Source organism: Homo sapiens, chromosome 17 (genome assembly GCF_000001405.40).
Source record: "Homo sapiens chromosome 17, GRCh38.p14 Primary Assembly".
NCBI lineage: Eukaryota > Metazoa > Chordata > Mammalia > Primates > Hominidae > Homo > Homo sapiens.
Window position 1 is genome coordinate 10,822,211 of NC_000017.11, and position 22,555 is coordinate 10,844,765.

General features: G+C 47.9%; 1 protein-coding gene across 1 annotated transcript, besides 2 other annotated features; it reads right to left on the reverse strand.

Annotated features, from left to right (window-relative positions):
• Positions 1-259: 259 nt before the first annotated feature.
• On the reverse strand, positions 260-15,877 carry PIRT (phosphoinositide interacting regulator of transient receptor potential channels). Its single transcript, NM_001101387.2, has 2 exons — positions 15,735-15,877; positions 260-3,573 (listed from the first exon to the last, which is right to left on the reverse strand). Exon 2 carries the CDS (start codon positions 3,433-3,435, stop codon positions 3,022-3,024), a length of 414 nt encoding a protein of 137 aa, NP_001094857.1. The 5' UTR covers positions 3,436-3,573; positions 15,735-15,877; the 3' UTR covers positions 260-3,021.
• Positions 14,688-15,189: an enhancer, noted in NCBI's record as "H3K4me1 hESC enhancer chr17:10740215-10740716 (GRCh37/hg19 assembly coordinates)". NCBI's record gives its function as "activates a minimal SCP1, AML or CMV promoter by ChIP-STARR-seq in naive H9 embryonic stem cells {active_cell/tissue: H9 hESC(naive)}" and the evidence as "EXISTENCE:reporter gene assay evidence [ECO:0000049][PMID:30033119]".
• Positions 16,886-17,110: a silencer, noted in NCBI's record as "fragment chr17:10742413-10742637 (GRCh37/hg19 assembly coordinates)". NCBI's record gives its function as "represses an EF-1alpha promoter that drives an FKBP-Casp9 reporter gene in an ReSE screen in HepG2 liver carcinoma cells {active_cell/tissue: HepG2}" and the evidence as "EXISTENCE:reporter gene assay evidence [ECO:0000049][PMID:32094911]".

A 22,555-nucleotide genomic window follows, 5' to 3' on the forward strand; every position in this document is an offset into this window, starting at 1 on the left:
TTGGTCTCAATACTTGGCTTGTGAGGATGGAAAGAGTTGGAAGCTGCTGGTCTCTGCCCCATCAGCATCTCAGAGTAGGGTCATCAGCTCCTACAAGATGCCTGAGGAACCATGCACAAAATCCATCCTGTCCATTTTCTCCCAGGCAGCAATCTGGGGAGAAGGATGTGTGGCAATGGAGGGTGGGGTGCATTTTAGATGAATTAATTGGTGGACATGGTCTTGAAATTCCTGAAGAGAAGAATGAAAACACAGCAGACAGTGTTACATAGAATACAATTCAACATTACATTGATTCCTTTAGGCTTCGGGTTAGATCAAATTCTCCCAAACAGAATAGCCATGGGGAGCATGAGACAATCTAGTGAGCCTAAAACACGGAAGCTGGTTCTGTCCTTTGACCCACTGACGTGAAAAGAGTCATTGCAGGTGATGCTTTGTTGCAGAAATGTGGAGTCTGACCTGGGCTGCATTTCCAGATCAGGTGCATCCGTACCTCAGCCTTCCATGGGGTAACAGGCATTGGCAAAAAATGTCCTGCCTCAGTGTGACCCTGGAACCTTTCCAGCCCACACTCATGTGGAGGATCCCAGTGGGGATGACGATGTTTGGGGATATTTCCTCATATTCTCTTTGCTGAGAAACTAGCTTGAGTGGGCAGGGAATGGAGGCAGGTACTGCTAGAGTCTGCAAAGTGAGTCCAGAACCTGGACTTCTAGAGTTGTGGTTATCCCTAAACTTCCTTCCACTAAGACATCCATGATAGCAGTATCCAAATGGGCCCTCCTCATATAGCTGTGCCCAGGCTACAATCTCCTGGGCAGAGGAAATGAGGCACCTGGAGTGTGGGTTTCCAGTGAGTGATCTGGGGCCCATCCCATTTGCTCCCATTTAAGAATGCATCGAGGAATGCAAGAGTAATATTATAGGGCCATCAAATCTGCATTCATCTCAGAAGAAGGGAAATGATCTGCAAGGTTTGTCACTGAGGCACTAAAACTACAATTAACGACATAGCACTTGCAACACTCCCAAGATTGGTCCTGACCACCTGTGTGCAGGGCTAGAGGTGAGCTAGAGACATGGCCACACTGGCATGGGTCTCCATGAAGGCTATGGCCATCCTGGGTGAGCCTCAACGGCCATGAGTTCCCCAAACTCTGACTCCGTGGGTGGGTCAGGTAGGGGTGGTCCCCATGACACAAGTGCTTTCCTCCATGGATTTTCTCACAATGCAGAAGGAACAAGGATGGATTCTGGCTCTGCATATGGAACTGCCATGCAGGATGGGGATATCTGGAGGGCCATGGTGACTGGGAAGGCCACAAGGCTGAGGAGTGAAGAGAATTAGCTCAAGACAAGGGTGATTCTGGTGCAGGATGCTCTCCTCTCACACCTCATTACCAAATGCTCTCCAGGGGTCTTTGGCCTAGGGCAGCGTGGCTGGCTCCCTCACAGGTACTGCTTCTGTTCTTTCACCTACGGGCCTCTTGGTTGCCACAGGGAGTTACAGAAGCACTTCTCAGGGACTCTTTGCTTGCCAGGCCCTCTGGAAACCCACTTCCCGTCTCTACCATAGACACCAGGAGGCCCTCAATGTGCCTCCAGGAGAAGCTGCGCTAGGCACTTGGTGAAGAGGTGGGAAGCCGGGAAAGAGAGGGATGAAGTAAAAACATCTGGGAGGTCAGACAAATGGCCGTGCAGTTTCCTAATTCCATCATGCTTCTCCTTCCCCAAGCTACTCCTGCACACGCATAGCAGCTCCTGCTGCTTCCAATGCCATTCTTTCCCCTCTTTGGTAACTCTTATCTTTCCTTTTGTTTTTGGGTTGGAGGACATGGCCTCCAGGAATTTCTCCGTCCTCTATCAAGTCTAGGGTAGACACCGCCTGTGTTCCCACACCCACCCACATTTCGCCAGTTGGCTTGGCTGCCTCTCTCACCTCGGGAAGCAAGAAGACATCAGGGACCGTGTCTTGCCCCCAGCCAGGGCTTATCCCAGAATGCGACACTTAATAAATGTTGGCTTTTTTGGTGGGTGGGGGCAGGGATAACAGAAGTTGGAATTTTCTGACGTGAATTCCATCTCTAGAAACCTACAGATCATTCAGATATGGAACTTGATTCTCTCAATTTTGATCTTGATGGACGTGAAAGGGAAAACAACCTTACAGGATCCCTCTGTATCTTTCCATTTAGCTGTTCTAGATGCAGAGATAGAGGCAGGGGTAGGAAAGAAATTAGGGCAACATGCATTTTGTCCTTGGCTAATGATCAAGTTCAGAGAAGACAGTGGTCAATGAGAAAGATAAGGTCAAGCGGAAACAGTGACATCCCCTAGCCTACCCCACTGCCTCTGATGTAAATATTATATAATTAGGAACTAAACTTCTTCAGCTGACTAACCCCTAGAGTCATGTTGTCATGTCCAGGGGCACGTGCCATCTTGGAGAGTATTTTTCCCAGGCCTCCCTTCATTGTTCAGTCTTTGGAATGTTTGATACTTGTGATCTTGAAAGTCTGCTAAGGGAGCTAGGGCTGTCAAACCCAATGGGTCAGAGCTCAGCCATCCCTCCCTCCTCTGTAAAGGACCTCCGTGGGTCAGTTTTGGTTCCAGAAGTATGCAAATGAAGAATCCAGCTCTGGCACTCAGATATGTAAACATGAGGTTCTCCCTTGGGCATAGCCCACCTTCGAAGAATTTCCCAGCATGCATTGCACTTGGCAGAGAGAGTTGGATGAATGATGCCTGGATGCAGGGGCAGGGGGTTAGAGTGACCAAAGGGAAGGCCACAGCCGGGATCCAAGGAAGCATCAGTCAGAATAGAGATCAAGTGGATACATCTGGCAACATTCCCGGCTGCATGGAGGGTGGAGCCCCAAGCTCTATCTTCCCCACAGGGTCAGGAAGAGCATTTTCCTGGATCAGTTTTATGGCACCCCACAGAGGAGACAGGGATGTCGGATGTTGGTCATCAGATCTTCTCCCAGTCAAGGTGGCAGGGAGATGCGGAAACCACCATCAGCGAGTCAGGAAGAAGGACTTGAGGCTGCGTAAGAAATTCGACTTCTGTCTGTGCTTCTGTTTCTTTTTGATGATGGGCACCCACACCAGCCCGCACACCAGCATCATGAGTCCCAGGGACAGGAAGCCAGGCCCTACCATTTTGAGGATGGAGAGACTCTTGTCACTCAGCTTCAAGGTGTAGGCCAAGCAGGTGATGACCACGCCGAAAAGCAGGATGGCACCGCCCACTGACATGATAACGATGGGCTTGCGGTAGATTTCCCAGTTACTCCTGGGGGTGGTGGTCCAGACAGACTCGCTCCTGGAGCTGATGCACAGGGAGCTGGCGGTCTGGCTGGGCAGCAGGTCCTTGGCTTCTGGAGACTTCTCATCGACCTCTAGAACCTTGGGGAGAGTCTCCATCGTCATGGTTGCTCAGGACTGGGCGCCTAGGACCAGCAATAGTTGGAAACAAGAGTGGAGCCAAAGGAATCCTCACACACCCTTCCTGTACTCAGCATCCATCTCTAGCCCCGCTCTCAGTGGAGGGTGAACAAGGTTTTTGTGCTGAAGCCAAAAAAGAAAATGAAATGAAATTCACATAAATAAGAAACCACCCAAGCTGGTATAATTTTTTTTTCTTGCAAGAGATAAATATTATAACATTTTATTCAATAGCTTTTAATATTTAAAACAAGGAACAGTGATGCCATTTTAGAAACAAACAAGTTATAGTTTTTTGTTTGTTTGCTTGTTTTTTTTTTTAGATGGAGTCTCCCTTTGTCACCCAGGCTGGAGTGCAGTGGCCGTGACCTCAGCTCACTGCAACCTCCACCTCCCGGGTTCAAGTGATTCTCCTGCCTCAGCCTCCTGAGTAGCTGTGATTCCAGGCACCTGCCATGAAGCCTGGCTAATTTGTGTATTCTTAGTAGAGACGGGTTTCCACCATGTTGGCCAGGCTGGTCTCGAACTCCTGACCTCAAGTTATCCACCTGCCTCGGCCTCCCAAAGTGCTGGGATTACAGGCATGAGCCACCGCACCCGGCCAGCTATATTTTGTTGAATGGCATTTTATTTTCAGACCCAACCACTTTCTAGTTGTCTGATCTTGATGGAATTACTCAACCTCTCTTTGTCTCAGTTTTCTTATCTATAAGATGAGGATAATGTTACTTCTTTCATAGAATTTTCAAAACGGTGTGAGTTAAGGGATGTAATGCATTGAAATAATGCCTAGCATATGGCAAATACTCCATAAATGATATCGTTTGTCTATTAGAAGAGTGATGCTTTACAGATAAATTCTGCATGTGTGTCCTGTGCCAGACACTGCATCAAACACTTCCTTTGTTAAATTGAAACCTGACAATAAACCTGTGAATTAGGCATTAGTCCTGTTTTACTGATGAGATAGTGAAGCTTCAGAGAGGTGAAGCAACTTCTTGAAGATCACACGATAAGGAACAGCCTGAGCTCAGATTTGAACCCTGTCACTCCTACCAGGCTATGCGTAGTCTGGAGAACACCGTTTCGTGCAGCCTGGGCTTTCACGTGCTCTGTCAGCAGAGGACAGTGATGTCACAGGTTCACAGTGCAACCTTCTTTTTTTTTTTGAGATGGAGTTTCACTCTTGTTGCCCAGGCAGGAGTGCAATGGCGTGATCTCAGCTGACCGCACCCTCCGCCTCCCGGGTTCAAACGATCCTCCTGCCTCAGCCTCCTGAGTAGTGGGGATTACAGGCATGCACCACCACACCCAGTTAATTTTGTATTTTTAGTAGAGATGGGGTTTCTCCATATTGGTCAGGCTGGTCTTGAACTCCTGACCTCAGGTGATCTACCTGTCTTGGCCTCCCAAAGTGCTGGGATTACAAGCATGAGCCACTGTGCCTGGCCCCCACAGTGCAACCTTCTAAGATCTAAACGCCACCCTTCCCTACCCTCCATGTTAATTACATCAAGGCCAATTTCCAGCTTCCTATTCTCAGGCCTGGAAAGGTATGGAGTCTCACTCAATTGCCCACCCCAGGGTCTAATCGAGAGCCCATCTGCATAGCTCTCAGCCACTGGGGCTCCCTCATCACTGACCCTGACTCAGGGGAGGTAGATGGTCACCCATGTGGAGCAATTTCAGGGCTGGGCTGCAGAGAAGCACTGCTTGCCCGCCAAATACTTCACCAGACCAGTGCTTTCTCAAATTCTTTTCATGTCCGATTAAAGCATTTCTTTCTTTTCTTTCTTTTTCTTTTCTTTTTTTTTTTTTTTTTTTTTTTTTTGAAGTGGAGTTTTGCTCTTGTTGCCCAGGCTGGAGTGCAGTGGTGCGATCTTGGCTCACTGCAACCTCCGCCTCCCAGGTTCAAGCCACTCTCCTGCCTCAGCCTCCTGAGTAGTTGGAATTACAGGTGCCCACCACCACACGCAGCTAATTTTTGTATTTTTAGTAGGGACAGGGTTTCACCATGTTGGTCAGGCTGGTCTTGAACTCCTGACCTCAGGTGATCCACCCTCCTTAGCCTCCCAAAGTGCTGGGATTACAGGTGTGAGCCACCGCACCCAGCCTAGATTAAAGCCTTTCATTTCATAATCAGAAATGTGGGTTCAAGGCAAAGGTCTATATATTTACAACAAGATAATAAGATGTAAATGACTGATATTAGGTACTTTCCTGAGGATAGGTTCTGTTTGAGAGAGCCCAGGTTCCCTGCCTGGAGGTTTCACAAAGTTACTGCCCTGATTCATCTTTCAAATGTCTCCAAGGTGTCTGTACATTGCTTTGTACCCAAGAGATTTTACACATCTTTAATTGAATGAGTAAGTAAATGAACAACTCTCTCTCCCTTCTTTCCCTTCCTCTTCCTTCCACTGGTTGCTAAGGACAAACACAGGACCTGCTCCACTTATATAGAAACCACTTACACACTTATTTATCTTCTAGCAGGAGCCTGGTGCCTCCCCTGCAGTAAGCTCAGGCGGTTGCTGCTCTCTGGGACAGAGCCCACAGGCTCTCTCCTCCTGTACCCCGAGTCCTCAAGCTCTCTGGCTGTTCTCTGAGGGTCCCTTGCCTGCTTGGGATGACTTTCCTTAAGCAGCTCTCCGAGGCTTCTGCTCTTTCTGCCTCTTCAGATGAAGAAGGAGACCTTGGCCTCTGGACCTTGGCTTCTACCCTCTTTCCTGGCCAAGAATCCTGCGATTCCTCCTCTGGCTTCTTCTTCTGTTTCCTGTTGGGCTACTCAACGCCCCACTCATGTCAGCATTTACAAATATCTCTATTTATGAGTGGGATGTGGGAGATTTCTTTCCATAGCAAAAAAATTGTATTGGGGAAGGTGGGCTATTCATCCTGGTCACCATGAAACCTTGGTCAAGAGGAAGGGGCAGGTTGCAGATAAATGTAACATGTATCAGGGCTTGGGAGCCACCAGCTCCAGACACATGTTACACAGAGAGGAGTCCTTTACTGAATGCGTTCTCCTTCAATCCTTCCGACGACGTCAATTTCAGCGGAGTCCCTCCAACCTGTTCATTCCAACCCTCACTGCTCAGGCCTGAACTTTTCTGAACTAGTGTCTTCCCTGACCCCAAGAATAATGATTCCATTCTCTAGAACAAGCAGTTACAGATCCCTCACCATTAACAGGGGGAAATAGGAGTTGTAACCAAGGCCTTCGGAATTTGGCCTTGGTAATGTTACAGTTTGGATCTCTGCTTCCTAAGACTCTGAAAATATTACAAGGTGCTTTTGTAACTGTAGGCACCCAGTGTGTGCTTCCCTTTGGAGCCTGTGGTATATTTGCATAAGCAAAGTAGCCATTTAAAAGGTGATTTTTTTCCCCCTGTGGGCTTGGGGGTAGGGATGGGTTCATAAAGCTGTTAGGAGACCTTGTGCTGCTTACTGCAACCTGGTCTCATATGAGGATGTTTGATCATCTTCAGCAGAATTTATTTTTCTCAGTAGTCATTTCGATCCCGTTTCCGTGAAGACATGGGGCGATATGATGGCTGTTTCCTGAGGCTGGAAAGGTTGTGATGAAGGAATTAAATGCAGTGATTCTCAGTGGTGCCAGAGAAGATAGCTGGGGCTGGGCAGGGGAAGGGCTTGCTCCTGGGAGCTGCCATCTGGGAGTGAGGGGGCTCAGGAACAGGAAGTGTTGAACTGGAGGCTGGGGCCACTGCAGGGACATTGGACTGTAGATTCTGAGAGAGGAAAATGGGCCTTGCTGGAAGTAACTAAGACCTTCTTTCTGGCTCTGCAACGCGGTCGCTAGTTCAGTCTCATTTTCTAGGGGCAGAGACTGAGGCCCAGTGGGGTTTAGGAGCTTGGCGAACTATACCAACCCCCACATCAGGCCAAGGTCTTCGGCCTCAAAGCTCCTTGCACTGCACAGCAGCTAGTCTGGATGGGTCCCAAAGGTTCCTCAACTACAAGAATCTTGAGATTATCACTTTGTGGCTCCATCCTGTAGTAAAATAATCTCTCAATGAATACAGAATGACTTAGATTCATAATCCCCTAACATTGACCCACTACGTGACGTGAGAAAGAAGAATTCTGTTGTAAGTTTTTCATAATGTTACATTTATTCAGTTCGAAGGACTATTTTTTATTCTGAGATCATAATGTAATGGAGTGGAGTCCTTCCTTGGCATTAGAATAGTCTTCATTTTATGAAATAATTATGATGGAAGAGGATCATTGGTTTTGTTAGTAACTGCTCAGAAAAAAATTGTCCACTATGTAGATGTCTGTCTGTCTATCTATCTATCTATCTATCTATCTATCTATCTATCTATCTATCATCATCATCTATCTGCAATGGTCCATGAAATCCCAAAGAAAAGCAACTATTCATTTGTTGGGAGGGAGGATGTGTCTTTGGGAGAGTGAATGGGCAGGGAGGCACTTCTAGGCAATGACTGAAAGAGAAGCAGTTCTCTTCCCCTGAGCAGAGGGAATGCCTACCCTCCTCTCCCTCCCACGCTACTCTCTGTAACTGTGACCAGGCAAAAGGCAAGGAGCATCTATAAACAGAAGCAGGCAGGCAGGGCAGGGCTGTGAGTGGAACTCTGTACTGGGAAGAATTAAGCCTACTTATTCACAGTTCCAGCAAGTCACTAAACTTACTTGCAGAAGCTGCTTGTGATGGAAAGACCCAGGTCTTTGGCATCAGAGTGACCACAATTTGAACACAGTTTGCCACTTACATGCTGTGGGACCTCGGTCAGGTTACTTCAGCCCCTGAGCCTTACGAGCCCCATATAAAACAGGGATAATGGAGTGTCTACCTCATAGGGTTGCGGTACAGTCAAATTTCAAATAACACTGCTATATTGTCTGACACATTCTACGTGTTCAGGAAATGGCCTTGGTTGCCATTGCAATTATTTTCTTTCTGGGTCTCTGTTTTTCCATTTATAAAATGAAGGAGTTTTCTTAGCTATTTCAGATAAGTCTATAGGTAATGAATCAGCTTGAAATCTGAAAATTGAGGTTTTCAGAAAATCACCAATTCATGGGCTGTAGGAGTTTTATAACATTTTATTAAAGCCCCAATAAGATTCCATTTTTTCTGTATACCAGGGCTTTTTAACAATGGCACTGTTGGCATTGTGGATTGGAAAATGGATTGCTGTGGCAGACTATAGGATTGTAGGATGTTTGTATTGTAGGATAGTTAGCAACATTCCTGGTCTCTACCCACTAGATGCCAACAGTACCTCTTCCTCCCTGTTGTTATCATCACAATAAAATATATCTCCAGACATTGCAAAGGTCCCCTGGGGTAGGCAAGATCAATGTGGTGGATCAAAGGCTGCTCTGGCCAGCCTTTCCTCCTGCCTAGCTTGAAAATTCAGGATAGAGGCTGGGCTTCCTCATCTTCTACCCCATGGCACCTGGCTCACAGCCTGGCACTTGGCAGTTGCTCAGAGGATGTGGCCCAGATGCTGCAGCTCTGTCGGGGACAAGGTAACACTCAGGGGGCTGGTCCAGTGAGAACCACCCTTTTCCGCTTCAATTAAGTTACTGGTAGTTTGGTTTGTGTGATTCAGGAGATCCTTCACTCACTGTAGGGAGTTGAATTGTGGCCCCCAAAAGATATGTCTACCCAGAACCTCAGAATGTGACCTTATTTGGAATAAGGGTCACTGCAGATACAATCAAGATAAGGATCTTGAGATTAAAACATCCTGAGTGAGAGTGGGTTCTAAATCCAATGATTGGCATCTTCCTTCTAAGAGAAGGGAGAAGGGAATTTGACACACAGAGGGGAAGGCTATGTGCAGAGGAGAGATGGAAGGAATGTTTCTACAAACCAAGGCATGCCAAGGGTTGCTCGAGGCTGGGAGAGAGGCAAGGAGTGAATTCTCCCTCTGAGCCTCTGGAAAGACCCAACCCCACTAACACCTTAATTTTAGACTTCTGGCCTCTAAGAATGTGAGACCTTCAATTTCTGTTGTTTCAAGTCACCAAGTCTGTGGCAATTTGTCATGGCAGCCCTAAAAAATAAGTATACTCAGTTTCCTTTAAGGTCCTGATGCCCCAGACTGGGCAAGGACTGAGGCCCCAGAGAGGATGGGCCTATGGAGGAGCAGGAGAAGCCTGGAGTTGCAGGGCCTCCTGGACTCACCTCAGATTTGAATGTCAGCTCGCCTGCAGGGCAGCAACTGGAGAAGGGCGGATGGGTCCTTCTCCCCTGGAGGCCAGTTTGGAGCTTCAGAAGGCTGAGTTAGTGGGTGGGGACTTAATTACAGTACACAACCAAGCTGAGCAGGCTGCAGGCTGGCACCAAGAAACAGTGCCAGTCTGGGACTATACAGCAACGAGAAGCCAGACAGAGAAAGAATGCATGCGATGTGATCTCATTTCCGTAAAATTCAAATATGTGTAAAACAGTCTATGCTATGAGAGCTTAGGATAGTGGCTGCCTTTGGTGGGGGTAGTGACTGAAATGGGGACTTTTGAGGTGCTGGCAACGTTCTGATTCTTTTTTTTTTTGAGTCGGAGTTTTGCTCTTGTTGCCCAGGCTGGAGTGCAATGGCACGATCTCGGCTCACCGCAACCGCCGCCTCCTGGGTTCAAGTGATTCTCCTGCCTCAGCCTCCCAAGTAGCTGGGATTACAGGCATGTGCCACCATACCCAGCTAATTTTGTATTTTTTAGTAGAGATGGGGTTTCTCTATGTTGGTCAGGCTGGTCTCGAACTCCCAACCTCACGTGATCCGCCCACCTCAGCCTCCCAAAATGCTGGGATTACAGGCGTGAGCCACCACACCTGGCTATGTTCTGATTCCTGACCTAGCAGCTGGCTACAAGGGTGTGTACTACTGGCACAGTACACTTGAGTTGTGACCGTTTTTGTGTGTGTGCAATCTATGTCAATAAAATGCTTAAACAAAGACAATTAAAAGATATAACTAAATGCAATACGTTCCTTCCTTTGGATTCTGATTAGAACAAGCCAATTGTACAAAGGCACTGGGGATAATTAGGGAAGTTTGAACATGGACTTGGATACGTCTCAGCCTCAGTGTGAACCATGATTCCTTTCCCTTTTCCATAAGCAGATTTATCCCTAGAGCTCTGTGACCTTCCATCCCCCAAACAGCACTGGTTTTCCCTAGGTAGTTGCTGACCTCTAAGGTCAAATCAACTGCATAGACCCTTAGTGCTAAGAGGATGAGAGGGGGTCTGGGGATCCACCTGACAGGCCCAGAACCCCGGAGTGATGATCCCTGACTGTATAACTTGGGGCCCACTTCCTGGTTTAAAGAAATAACTTATTCACCTCTTACATGGATATGTGGTAGGGACAGGGATGCCAGACAAGAAAAGGGAAGGGAAGAGGGTGGAAAAAACACAGAGGACAATTGACTTTCAACAAATGCATCAAAGCAATTCAACGTGGAAAGGAAAGTCATTTCAACAAATGGTGCTGGAACAACTGGATATTCACATGGAAAAAAGAATGAAACTTGATCCCACTTGACGTCATCAACAAAAACTAGAGCTGGATCCTGGGTCTAACCTAAATGTAAAAGGTAAAACTATAAAGATTTTTGGGGAAACCACAGGAGAAAAATCTTTGTGACCTGGGGACAGGCATAGATTTTGTAGACAAGATAGAGACAGAAAAAAAAATCAATAAAATAGATATCATCAAAATTTAAAATGCCTGCTCATTAGATGACACCATGAAGGAAATGAATAGGCAAACTCTGAACTGTGACAAAATATTTACAAAATATGTATCTGGGCTGTGCACAGTCGTTCATACCTGCAATCTAATCCTAGCACTTTGAAAGGCCGAGGCAGCAGATCACTTGAGGTCAGGAGTTCGAGACCAGCCTGGCCAACATGGTGAAACTCTGTCTCTGCTAAAAATACAAAAAATCAGCTGGGTGTGGTGGTGCACGCCTATAATCCCAGCAACTCGGGAGGCTGAGGCATGAGAATCACTTGAAACTGGCAGATGGAAGTTGCAGTGAGCCGAGATCTCGCCACTGCACTCCAGCCTGGGCAATGGGGCGAGATTCCATCTCAAAAAAAAAAAAGTATCTGTCAATGCTACATATGATTAATAGACAAAGAGCCCAGTTAAAATGGGCCAAATGTTTAAATAAACATTACATATAACAAGTGAACAAGGAACCCAGGAAAAAGTGCTTGACATTGATGTTTAACAGGAAAATACAAATTAAAGCCACAACGAGACATCACCACACATGCACTACAATAGATAAAATGGGAAAATCTCACAATACCGTAGGTTGGTGTGAACGTGGAACAACCCGAGCTGGTGGGAATGTAAAATCGGTTGTTTTTTACAAAGTTAAATATACATCTACCCTTTGACCCAGCAGTTCCACTTCCAAATGTTTATTTGTCCCAGAGAAATGAAAAGGCATGTCTGCAAAAAGACTTCTTTAAGAATAGTCATAAAAGCTTTATTCATAATAGCAAAAATAAAAAAGAAAAAAAAGAAAAAGAAAAAGAAAACAACCCAAATGTCCCTCAACAGAAGAAAGGATAAATGGTTGTATAATCACACAATGGAATGTTACTAAGCAGTAGAAAGGAGCTAACTTCTGAAGCGCACAACAGCATGGATGAGCCACACAGACATGCTGGGTGGAAGAGATCGGATATGAAAGAGTACCTATATGGCATGTTTCCATCTACCTGGCATTCTGAAGCCAGCTAAGAACTAATTAAGGTGGCAAAGCTCAGAAAATTGTTGTGGGGCTTGAGGAGGAACCAACTGGAATATACACGAGGAAATTTCCCAGGGTCGATGGACATGTTCTATGCAGTGACATTGGTGGGGTTTGCATGAGGGACCCATTTGTCAATATGGTGCTGTTAGATCTGTGCATTTCTTTTTCTTTTTCTTTTTTTGAGACAGAGTTTTGCTCTGTTGCCCAGGCTGGAGAGCAATGGCGAGATCTCAGCTCACAGCAACCTCTGCCTCCCGGGTTCACGCCATTCTCCTGCCTCAGCCTCCCGAGTAGCTGGGACTACAGGCACCGCCACCATGCCTGGCTAATTTTTTCTATTTTTAGTAGAGATGGGGCTTCACCGTGTTAGCCAGGATGGTCTCAATCTCCTGACCTCATGATCTGCCTGCCTTGGCCTCCCAAAGTGCTGGGATTACAGACGTGAGCCACTGCGCCCAGCGTTGTTTGTTTTTTTTTTTTTTTTAACTACAGAAGGTTAGAACCTGACTAGCACCGCTTTACCAAGTCACTGGTCCTGTTCCTTCCCACCCGGTGGTTGTAAAAATCTCCCTTTGATATTACAGCCAGGTGTTAGGATGGAAGTAGCTCACAAGGTGGCATGGAGGCAGCTGTGAAGGGGCAAAGGCAGGACACACTGACCAACTCCTCCCTGCCTCCATTCTTTGGCCTAAGTGACCGCTCACCTCGCCAAGGCAGGCTTCCTTCTGCTGGCCGAAGTTCCTACAAAAATCTCCAATGTACCTCAGCTGCTTCTCCAAAGCCAAAGAAGCCATGCGGCTGGGGAGGGCAGGTGCTTTTTATACAATAATAAAAACTACCATTTATCAAATGCTTAGTGTGTGGTGGGAGCCACGCTAAATGCTTTGTCTGCATTGCCTCATTTCATCCTCCCACCCAGTCACTCCTATGGGGAAGCTATATTCTTGCCCCACTTTGCAGGTGAGGAAACTGAGGATCAGAAAGGTATAAGTGACTTGCCCAAGATGACTCACAGATGAGGAGAGCATCTGGATTGGAATGTGAGTTTTGCAGCCAGCCTGGCCCAGACTCTGTGTTCAAGTCTATTCCGCCCCTCCTTGGGGCGGTTTTAACGTTTATTTTCAAATTATGGGAAAAGCAAGTGGGGAGGATGCCCAAAGTGGGACATAGTGAACAGAACTGCAGCCTTGGCTGAGGAGATAGGCCTAGGACTGTTGGTTAGAGCTGCCAAGGACGCCGGGGTCCCCGAGCTGGGGCCAGCAAGCAGCAAGAGGCCAGCAAGGGGCCTGTGGCACAGTGGCCTTAAAGTCACCACTGTCACCATGCCACAAATCCAACGTAAGATGCCTGGCATGTGCCACTTTCTTCGCCTGGGGAGTCTCTTTTAATCCTCTGCTTTAGGAGGGTAATACTATTATCATTCCCATTTTGCAGCTAGGAGCACAGGCTCAGAGCTGCCAGCCTCCAAATCCTGATTTTTTTTTTTTTTTTTGAGATGGAGTTTCGCTCTTTTGCCCAGGCTAGAGTGAAGTGGTGTGATCTTAGCTCACTGCAACCTCCACCTCCCAGGTTCAAGCTATTCTCCTGCCTCAGCCTCCTGAGTAGCTGGGATTACAGGTGCATGCCACCACGCCTGCCTAATTTTTGAATTTTTAGTAGAGACGGGATTTTGCCATGTTGGCCAGGCTGGCCTCGAACTCCTGACCTCAGGTGATCCACCTCCCTCAGCTTCCCAAAGTGCTAGGATTACAGGCGTGAGCTACTGCACCCGGCCAATCCTGCTCTTTTATTTATGCTTTCTCAAGGAGAGGGCCCTGCCTTTTTTTCTTCTTGTTTTCTTCACCGCCTTCCTTGCATTCTACCACCCTACACCTGTACATCTCCACCTCTGAACTCACTCCCCAGCCTTTTCCTGGTGCTGTCCTCCTTCGAACGTGCTGAAATACAGTTGGTATTAAGAGGGTTGTCAGATTTAGAGAATAAAACTACAAGGTGTCCAGTTACAGTTCAGCCTCAGATCAACAACGGATAGTTTTTTTCATGTAAGAATGTTCCAGTATTGCATGGGACCAACGCATGCAAAAAATGTATTTGTTGTTTGACAAATTCAAATTGAACTGGGCATCTCGCAATACATCTGGCACCCCTAATATTGTAAGAGATCCCGCTGTGCTGCTGTGCTTGGGCCTGGAGTTATCTGGCCCTTCCTGAGCTTCTGCCCCTCAGGCCCCACCATCTAGAGAGCTCTGATAGCACCTGGGCTGTTCTGGAAGTTGCAAGAGCTGAAAGCAGAGGAGAGAGGCACACATTACCTCACTGCTGGGAGGCTGGGCCCAGCGAGGGGAGTCTGGGGGAGAAGCGGGGAAGGCAGGATGGAAGTGGTGGGAATAACACCATGTATTATTCCTGTGGAAGACCCAGAGTGGTAAGAAGTGGAGGGTCCTCCTGTTTCCCTCACGGAGTCCCCATTAAGGCCCCACCCAGCTCCAGCTTGCCAGTGGTCATCCCCACGGTCCCTTATCTTCTCTGGCGGTGCTGTCTTCCCCTCACCAGGACATTCAGTTGGTGACTGTCCACCCCTCTGATAAGGTGAGTGGGGGCCAAGTGTCTGGGCTAATAGAAGCTAGAGGGTTTCTGAGTAAGCCGCTGCTGTCACCATGGCCATGGCCACCCATCTGTCACCTGCTCATAGCGCTTCTAGGAAGGGAAGTTTCCCAAAGGTCACAGTCAACCTAGAGGGTGCCACCCACCTCCCTTGTTGGGCCACCCGGCTGGTGCCCAGACCCTGGCCAGTGACAGGGTAGAAAAATAGCTCGGGCGATTGCGTGTGTGACCACGGCTGGCTTTACCCGGATGCAGGGTTCTCACGGCACACAGTTGCCTGACTGAGCCACGTCTTTGTCCGTGTTTGCATGTGCCTGCCTTGTTCCCCCTGTCTGAGATAAAACTCCCGAGGCAGCCAACGCACTCCACCTTGTTTTTCTGGCACCTGCCCCAGACACCTGCCACAGCTGCAGGAGGAAGACATTGGCAGCTGCAGAGGTCTGACACAGGGTGCTCAGGAGGACGGCTGGGGTCCGAGATTCCACCCATGTACTCTGGGGTCTGGGGGTGGCCTTGCACTTTCCTGTCTGGCTTTTTTGCTTCTTCCACTTAGATTTGGGAGGAGAGTCCCTGCCCAGCCCTTCCCACAATGGCTGCTAAGAGTGAAGGCTGGATGCTATAGACGCAGGACTGAAGCAGCTCTCTGCCCACAAATTCCCTTCTTCCCAGTACACAGCAAGGGGCGGCCCCCCTTCCTCTGGCCACCACTGTCTGCCAAGACCCTCAGCAGGCAGTGCCTCCAGGCTGACTTCACCCCCTCCCAGGGCATAGCCCCCTTTTCTCCGCTTGTTGTTCATGCTTGCCTTCCAACCCCAGTTTAAAGACAACACGCTCCAAAGCAAAGTTAAAATCTGCTCCTTCCTTCAGCGAGATGGAAGGAAGGGCAGAAGGAAACATTCCCTCCTTACTTACTGTCCTCGATGTCCCAGGGGAGGATGGGGGACCTGGGAATCACTTGGTGCTCGTGCAAGGAGGAAGCCGGCAATGAGTTTCTGCTCAAGTCCATGCCAGCCAGAGAAAGCCACCCTGACCACGTCCAGAAGTCAGTGTGTTGTGAATCCCAGCAACTGAGCAGGCTCCAGCAGGGATGGATGAGCTCACCAGGCAATGGCCTAATGGGTTAACTCTTTGTGAGCTGCTGGCATGGGTCCTCGGACTGTGGCTTTCTCAGCTCTGCTCAGCCACAATTAGATGAATCTTGTGAAAAATTCATGATGCTTCTCTGCAGTCTGTCTTCAAGTTTCATGGAGGCGTGCGTTCCGTTGGTGCCTGGGCAGGGCAGCTTCTCCTGACCCAGGCTCAGAAATCAGAGGACCTGGAGTTTCTGGGTTGGTGGAGGTGTGTAGTGGCCATGGTGGTGGGGATGAGTTGCCAAAGAGTGGATCAGACCCTCCGGCTGACTCAGGCTACACTGGCTCTGTTCAGTGCAGGCCTTAATAATTTGATCTGGGAACTCTCTGTGTTCTGGATGTTGGAGGGGGCACATGCAGACTTAGAAAACATCCTTGGTTGCAAGATGGCAGGGACACTTCTTGGAACTTTCCAATGCACGGGTGGGCACCCTATGTTACAAACTGCCAGGAGCCCACAACACGACTTACCTCCATCCCAGGCCTGACATCTCAAATAGAGGCAAAAGAGCTTGTTCCCCATCGCTCTTCCAATCATTCCTCATGGTGCCCTGTTGCTTTTTATGGGATGCCTGCTGCCACAATGATGAGAAGAGAATGATGCAAATCAGTGCAAGGAGGATGAAAAGGTTTTCTCCTCTATAAACCTTTACCAGACTGTGCTTCGGGAAGCTGGGTGTGAGCTGTTGAGTGGCCAGTTCTCAAGATGCTGACGGATACACTGAGGTCAGCAAAATTGCCTATGATTCTGGAAGGCATGCTGGCTCCTGCCCTGGCCCACACTAACCTGAGAACGTGGGCAGCTGTTGTTCCTCAGGATAACTGGTGGGTGGGCATCCTTGCTACTGGGAACAGTACCCTGAGGGGCTTCCTCTGTGGTCTGCCGGGAGGGCTTTCCTAGGAGCCATCCAAGGAAGCTGCTGTCAAGGCAGGTATGAGACTCTCCCATATTTGGCATCTTGAGTTCCTCATCTGTGCAATGAGCAGGAGATTCTGAGCCTAGAAGGCTCTGTAGAGGTTGCTGTGTGATCCATGCCTAGAGAAGCAGAGAGCTAGGAGGATGAGCCTGTCCCCTGAGCTGCTGTGAGGGATCAGGCTGAGTACGCCCTCTGTCCTCTGTGAAGATGAGCGTCTCTGCTCAGGGCAATGAGCAGGGAGAGGCCTGCCTTGAGTGTCCAGGGGAACTTGACTTTGAAGGTTTTTGAGGATGTGAGTTGCTTTGCCTTAGGTGCCTCTGACTTTATACTCAAATCAGTTTGTAAAACCAAGTGGCCTGGCTCGCAGAGGAACCCTAGAGTGAATTATTTTGCAATGCAAATAATCAAATGATTTATTTATTTATTTTTACAAAGTTCGGGCTATTCCCCCACCCTCTGCAGGGCACGGCAGTGTGGCAGAGTAATACCATCCTAAGTTAAACCCTTATTCATCACTCCCTCCATGTCAGGCACTCTTCTAAGCACTTTATATATATAGCAATTCACTTATTTCCCATACAACTCCATGAGGTAGCCATGTGAGGTATATTGCTATCTCTGTATTTGGCCTTGGACGAATTACTTCTCTGGGCCTTAATTTCCTCATGTATTCATTGAGTGGGATCATTACTACATCACAGAGCTTTTATGAAGATTAAATGAGAAAATGCTCATAGCAAGTGCTTAAAGAATATATACATAATATATATGCACATAATGCACATGTGTATAAGTACATATTTAAATATAAATGTAAATTGGAGGGGCAGCAAGCATCAGAGGAGAACATGTCCGGGGTAGAAGCTGTTCTGTCTGCAGACCCCCTTCCTAGCAGGACAGATGAGGAGGCATGAGGAGCCATCATGGTCCCTGGGCAGCTGACTCCAGTGTCCCGGGATGAAGAGGCCGCTACTGCAGCTGTGGTGTTGAAGGGAATGGGAGCAGGGATGGTCACTGCCTGGGGATGGCTCTTAGCCTCTTATCCACAGTGCCCTAACTCTCCACCCTGTAGCTGCTCCTGCTCAGCGCTGTGCCCCCTCACCTGGCCAGTCCAGTGTTGCACGAGACAGTGGTAAGGTAGGATGACCAGCCATCCAGGCTCACTGGGTACTGATGGATTTCCTGAAATGTGGGACTTTCAGTGCTAAAACCATGAAAGTTCCAAGCAAACCAGATGAATTGGTTTCCTTAGTAAACACTTTTGGGCAGTGGCATGTCATTTGGAACATCCGTCCCTGTGCACGTGGGCTGTCTCCTTCTGGAATGTTCTTTCTGTCAATCTTTATGTACATATGTATGTATGTATTTATTTTTGAGACAAGGTCTCACTCCTGTTTCCCAGGCTGGAGTGCATTGGCGTGATCTTGGCTCACTGCAGCCTTGACTCCCAGATGCAAATGATTCTCCCTCCTCAGCCTCCCAGTAGCTGAGATTATAGATGTGCACCACCATGCCTGGCTAATTTTTTTGTTTGTATTTTTTTTGTAGAGATGGGGTTTCACCATGTTGTCCAGGCTGGTCTTGAACTCCTGGGCTCAAGCAATCTGCCCGCCTCAGCCTCCCAAAGTGCTGGAATTACAGGCGTGAGCCACCGCGCCTAGCCCATCTTCATTTAGCTGACGCAGTCAGTCTGGCCTTGGCCCTGCACAGCCTCTGGGCCTTCGCTCTTCTGCTCTATTATACTTCTTGATGACTGTCTGTCTGTCCCCTACTTGCATCCCCTAAACTCCTTGGAATAGTTTTTTTTTTTTTTAATAAAAAGTGCTTATTACGAAAAATTTTAAACACACACACGTGCGCACGTTACCTAATGAACTTCCACAATCCAGCTTCAACAATTATCAACGTTCATTCTTTTTCATATGTCTCCCTTGTGTATGTACAGTTGACCCTTGAGAACAACACAAGTTTGAACTTCGAGGGTCCACTTATATGTTGGCAATTTTTCTTCTTTGAGATAGGGTCTGCCTGTCTTCCAGGCTGGAGTGCAGTGGCACTATCCCAGCTCACTGCAGCCTCGAGTTCCTGGGCTCAAGCGATCCTCCCACCTTAGCCTCCTGAGTAACTAGGAACACAGGCACATGCCACCATGTCTGGCTAACTTTTAATTTTTCTGTAGAGATGGTGTCTTGCTATGTTGCCCAGGCTGGTCTTGAACTTCCATCTTTAAGCGATCCTCCTGCCTGGGCTTCCCACAGTGCTGAGATTACAAGGAATGAGCCACCATGCCTGGCCTGGATATTTCTTCCATAAATATATTGACTTTTTTGAGACTTGTGACGATTTGAAGAAACCTACATACAAACTGCATAGCCTAGAAATATTGAAAAAATTAAGAAAAAAGATAGATATGTCATAAATGCATAAAATATGAGTAGATACTGGCTGGGCACCATGGCTCACTTGGGAGGCCGAGGTGGGTGGATCACGAAGTCAGGAGATTGAGACCATCCTGGCTCACACAGTGAAACCCCATCTCTACTAAAAATACAAAAAAAAAAAAAAATTAGCCAGGCGTGCTGGCAGGCCCCTGTAGTCCCACCTACTTGGAAGGCTGAGTCAGGAGAATGGTGTGAACCCGGGAGGTGGAGGTTGCAGTGAGCCGAGATCACACCACTGCTCTCCAGCCTGGGCAACAGAGCAAGACTCCATCTCAAAAAAAAAATATATATATATATGAGTAGATACTGTTGCATTTATATGTTAATTGACTCTTCATCTTATCAGTAAGGCCTCTGGTCAATGATAGGATATTAATAATTAAGTTTGGGGGAGTCAAAACTTACATATGACGTTTTTACTGCACAGAGGTTGGCACTCCTAACCCCCACATTGGTCAAGATACTTTATTTCACTTAGTATTTTAAAGTTAATTCTATACGTCTCTTCTTCAGTAAAGCCTTGCAAATAGAGAGTTGTGTTTCCCTAACAGATGACCTCCTTCCTTCTTTTTTGAAATAATAACCACAGTGCCATCATAACCATACATGAAGTTGAAGCATTCTTAAAGTGAATACCCATTCCACATTCACATTCCCTTGATTGTCTCAAAACAACGTTGTTTTTTTTTTTTTTTTTGCTTTTGAAACAGGGTCTTGCTTTGTTGCCCAAGCTGGAATGCAGTGGTGCAATTATGGCTCACTGCAGCCTGGATTTCCTGGGCTCAAGAGAGTCTTCCATCTCAGCCTCCCGAGTAGCTGGTATCACAAGCACCCGCCACCACGCCTGGCTAATTTTTAAATTTTTTTGTAGAGAGAGTCTCACTTTGTTGCCCAGGCTGGTCTCGAACTCCCGGCTTCAAGCGATCCTCCTGCCTTGGCCTCCCGAAGTGCTGGGGTTACAGTTGTGAGCCACCGTGCCCAGCCTCGAAACCACCCTTTTAGAGTCAGGTTTCTTCAAAGCAGGATCCCAGCAAGTTCCAGTGATTACTTTTAGTAGGTCTGCCTCCAGCACTTCTTTTGGCCTCTAACAGCCTTTCCCTCTTCTATTCATAACATTTATTTATTGAAGACACAGGACTTCTGTCTTAGAGAACTTCCCTCATTCCAGATTTGGCTGCCTGCTTCCTCACGGTGCCATTTATCACTTGCCTGCATTTTGCAAGGGCCGTGTCTCAATTTCCACTGTGGCCCTGGATCCTAGTACAATGCCTTGGCCCAGGAGGGGTGCCCAGTCAATGGTGAATAAGGAGTCACATGAATATTCATAAGGTACCTGGCAATGCATAGAGGGCTTTGGCCCACATGCCGTTCGGCCAGGAGCTACATTTTCTGTTTGCTTCTCCCTTGTGATGCTGGAACTGGTTACTGAGCCAAAAGACTCTGAATGCCATGGTCATTTCCAAAATCCCCTTCTAACTGAGTGCTCCCATTTTCTTTTCTTTTCTTTTCTTTTCTTTTCTTTTTTCTTTCTTTCTTTTTTTTTTTTTTTGAGACAGAGTCTTGCTCTGTCTCCCGGGCTGGAGTATAGTGGCGCAATCTCGGCTCACTGCAACCTCCGCCTCCCAGGTCAAGCGATTCTCCTGCCTCAGCCTCCTGAGTAGCTGGGACTACAGGTGCCTGCCACCATGCCCGGCTAATTTTTTGTAGTTTTAGCAGAGATGGGGTTTCATCATGTTGGCCAGGATGGTCTCGATCTCCTACCTCGTGATCCACCCGCCTCAGGCCTCCCAAAATGCTGGGATTACAGGCGTGAGCCACCGTGCCCGGCCAGTACTCTCATTTTCTAAGGGATAATAAGTTAATATTTAAAATTATATTTTCTCTTTTTTTTCCTCTTTCCTCCTCTTCTCCTGTGCCCCACTTCCTACTTAGCTCTTTAGGAATGCAGTTATAACCTTTTACCTTCCCTTCACCAGACACTGCCTATAGGGTAAGCTTATCTAACTGTGTGCGTATTTAAAAGCTCCAGAGTGGAAACCTTTCCCACCAGGAGTTTGCCTTGACAGACAAAAGCCAATTTACAACCAAAAGTATGCCTGCTACAAAACTCTCTCTCATCTGAAGAGCACCTCGAGACAAGGCCACTTTACAACCTAGTTCTGCCTGCGATGGCACCAACTTGACCACTTCTGGTAAGGCAGCCCTGTAGATAAGGCACATATAGATAAGGCACTGGAAGTTACGCAGACCCCCACCTGCTTGTTTCCTCCCCTGCATACCACGCGTGCAAAATCCCCTTCTAAAAACCCCTGCTTTCTCTTCCAAAAGAGAAGCCGTACCCTTAAGGCAGGAAGCCTGTGCTTCTTCCCCTGAGCTAGCTTTGGAACAAAGTCACTTTCTTTGTAGCAGATCTCGGGAGCAACTGAACTTGCAACCCAGCTACACTCTCCCTCCCGCCCACGCCAAGGCAGGGGAATGAGCAAATAGGAACCTTCAGGGTAACTTCAGAGGAGGCGACTGCCCTGAGCAGGAGTTTCCACAGGATCCTGGGTATCTCTTGCCAATGCCAGTGCAGAGGGGGAGTGAGGTTCTAACCATGGGAAGGAGTCCGGGGTGGGCTGTCAGCACTGGCTGTCGGTGACAAGCCTAACAAAGAGGTGCCTATGTTGACATCCTTGTCTTCCACTGTTTGTTTTGGTGTCTTTTTATTAGTCTAATAACCATTAGGTAGCTCATTGTCCTAACCAAACACACAGAAAGCTGAAAGAAAACACCACCAACTTTGGGAAACTATTGGAAACTGTGCTCAGAGGGAGTCCCAGCCCCCTCCCAAACTGCGCCCAAGAGCAGAGCAAGATGCAAAGCCAGGGGAAGTAAGGAGGGAAGCAGGCTGGGAGGGAGGGGCTCCAGCCCCAGGGTTGGGGTGGAGGAGACGAGGCCCCCTTTGCCCATAAGACTCTAGGCTCCTTCCAAGGAGGGCAAGAAGCCTTTTTTTTTTTTTTTTTTTTTTTTTAAACCCAGGGCCCAGGAAAGTTATGCAAAGCAATTACTCAACTTAGGCAGCCCAGGGAGGGACCACCATCTTCCAACTGCTCCACCTCCCACTACGTTTGTCTTTGCCTCCTTTCCCTTCCCATCAGGGTTCATGACCAAGGAGACGCAATTCTGTGAGCCTAAGTCTCTGCTGGTCTGGTCCTCTTGGCTCTCTTGAGAGACCCAAGTACAGGTGACTTCCCTGACTCTGG

Bases quoted from the DNA above. Each gene is read 5' to 3' on its own strand.
- PIRT (NM_001101387.2), bottom strand. From the start codon at position 3,435: ATGACGATGGAGACTCTCCCCAAGGTTCTAGAGGTCGATGAGAAGTCT.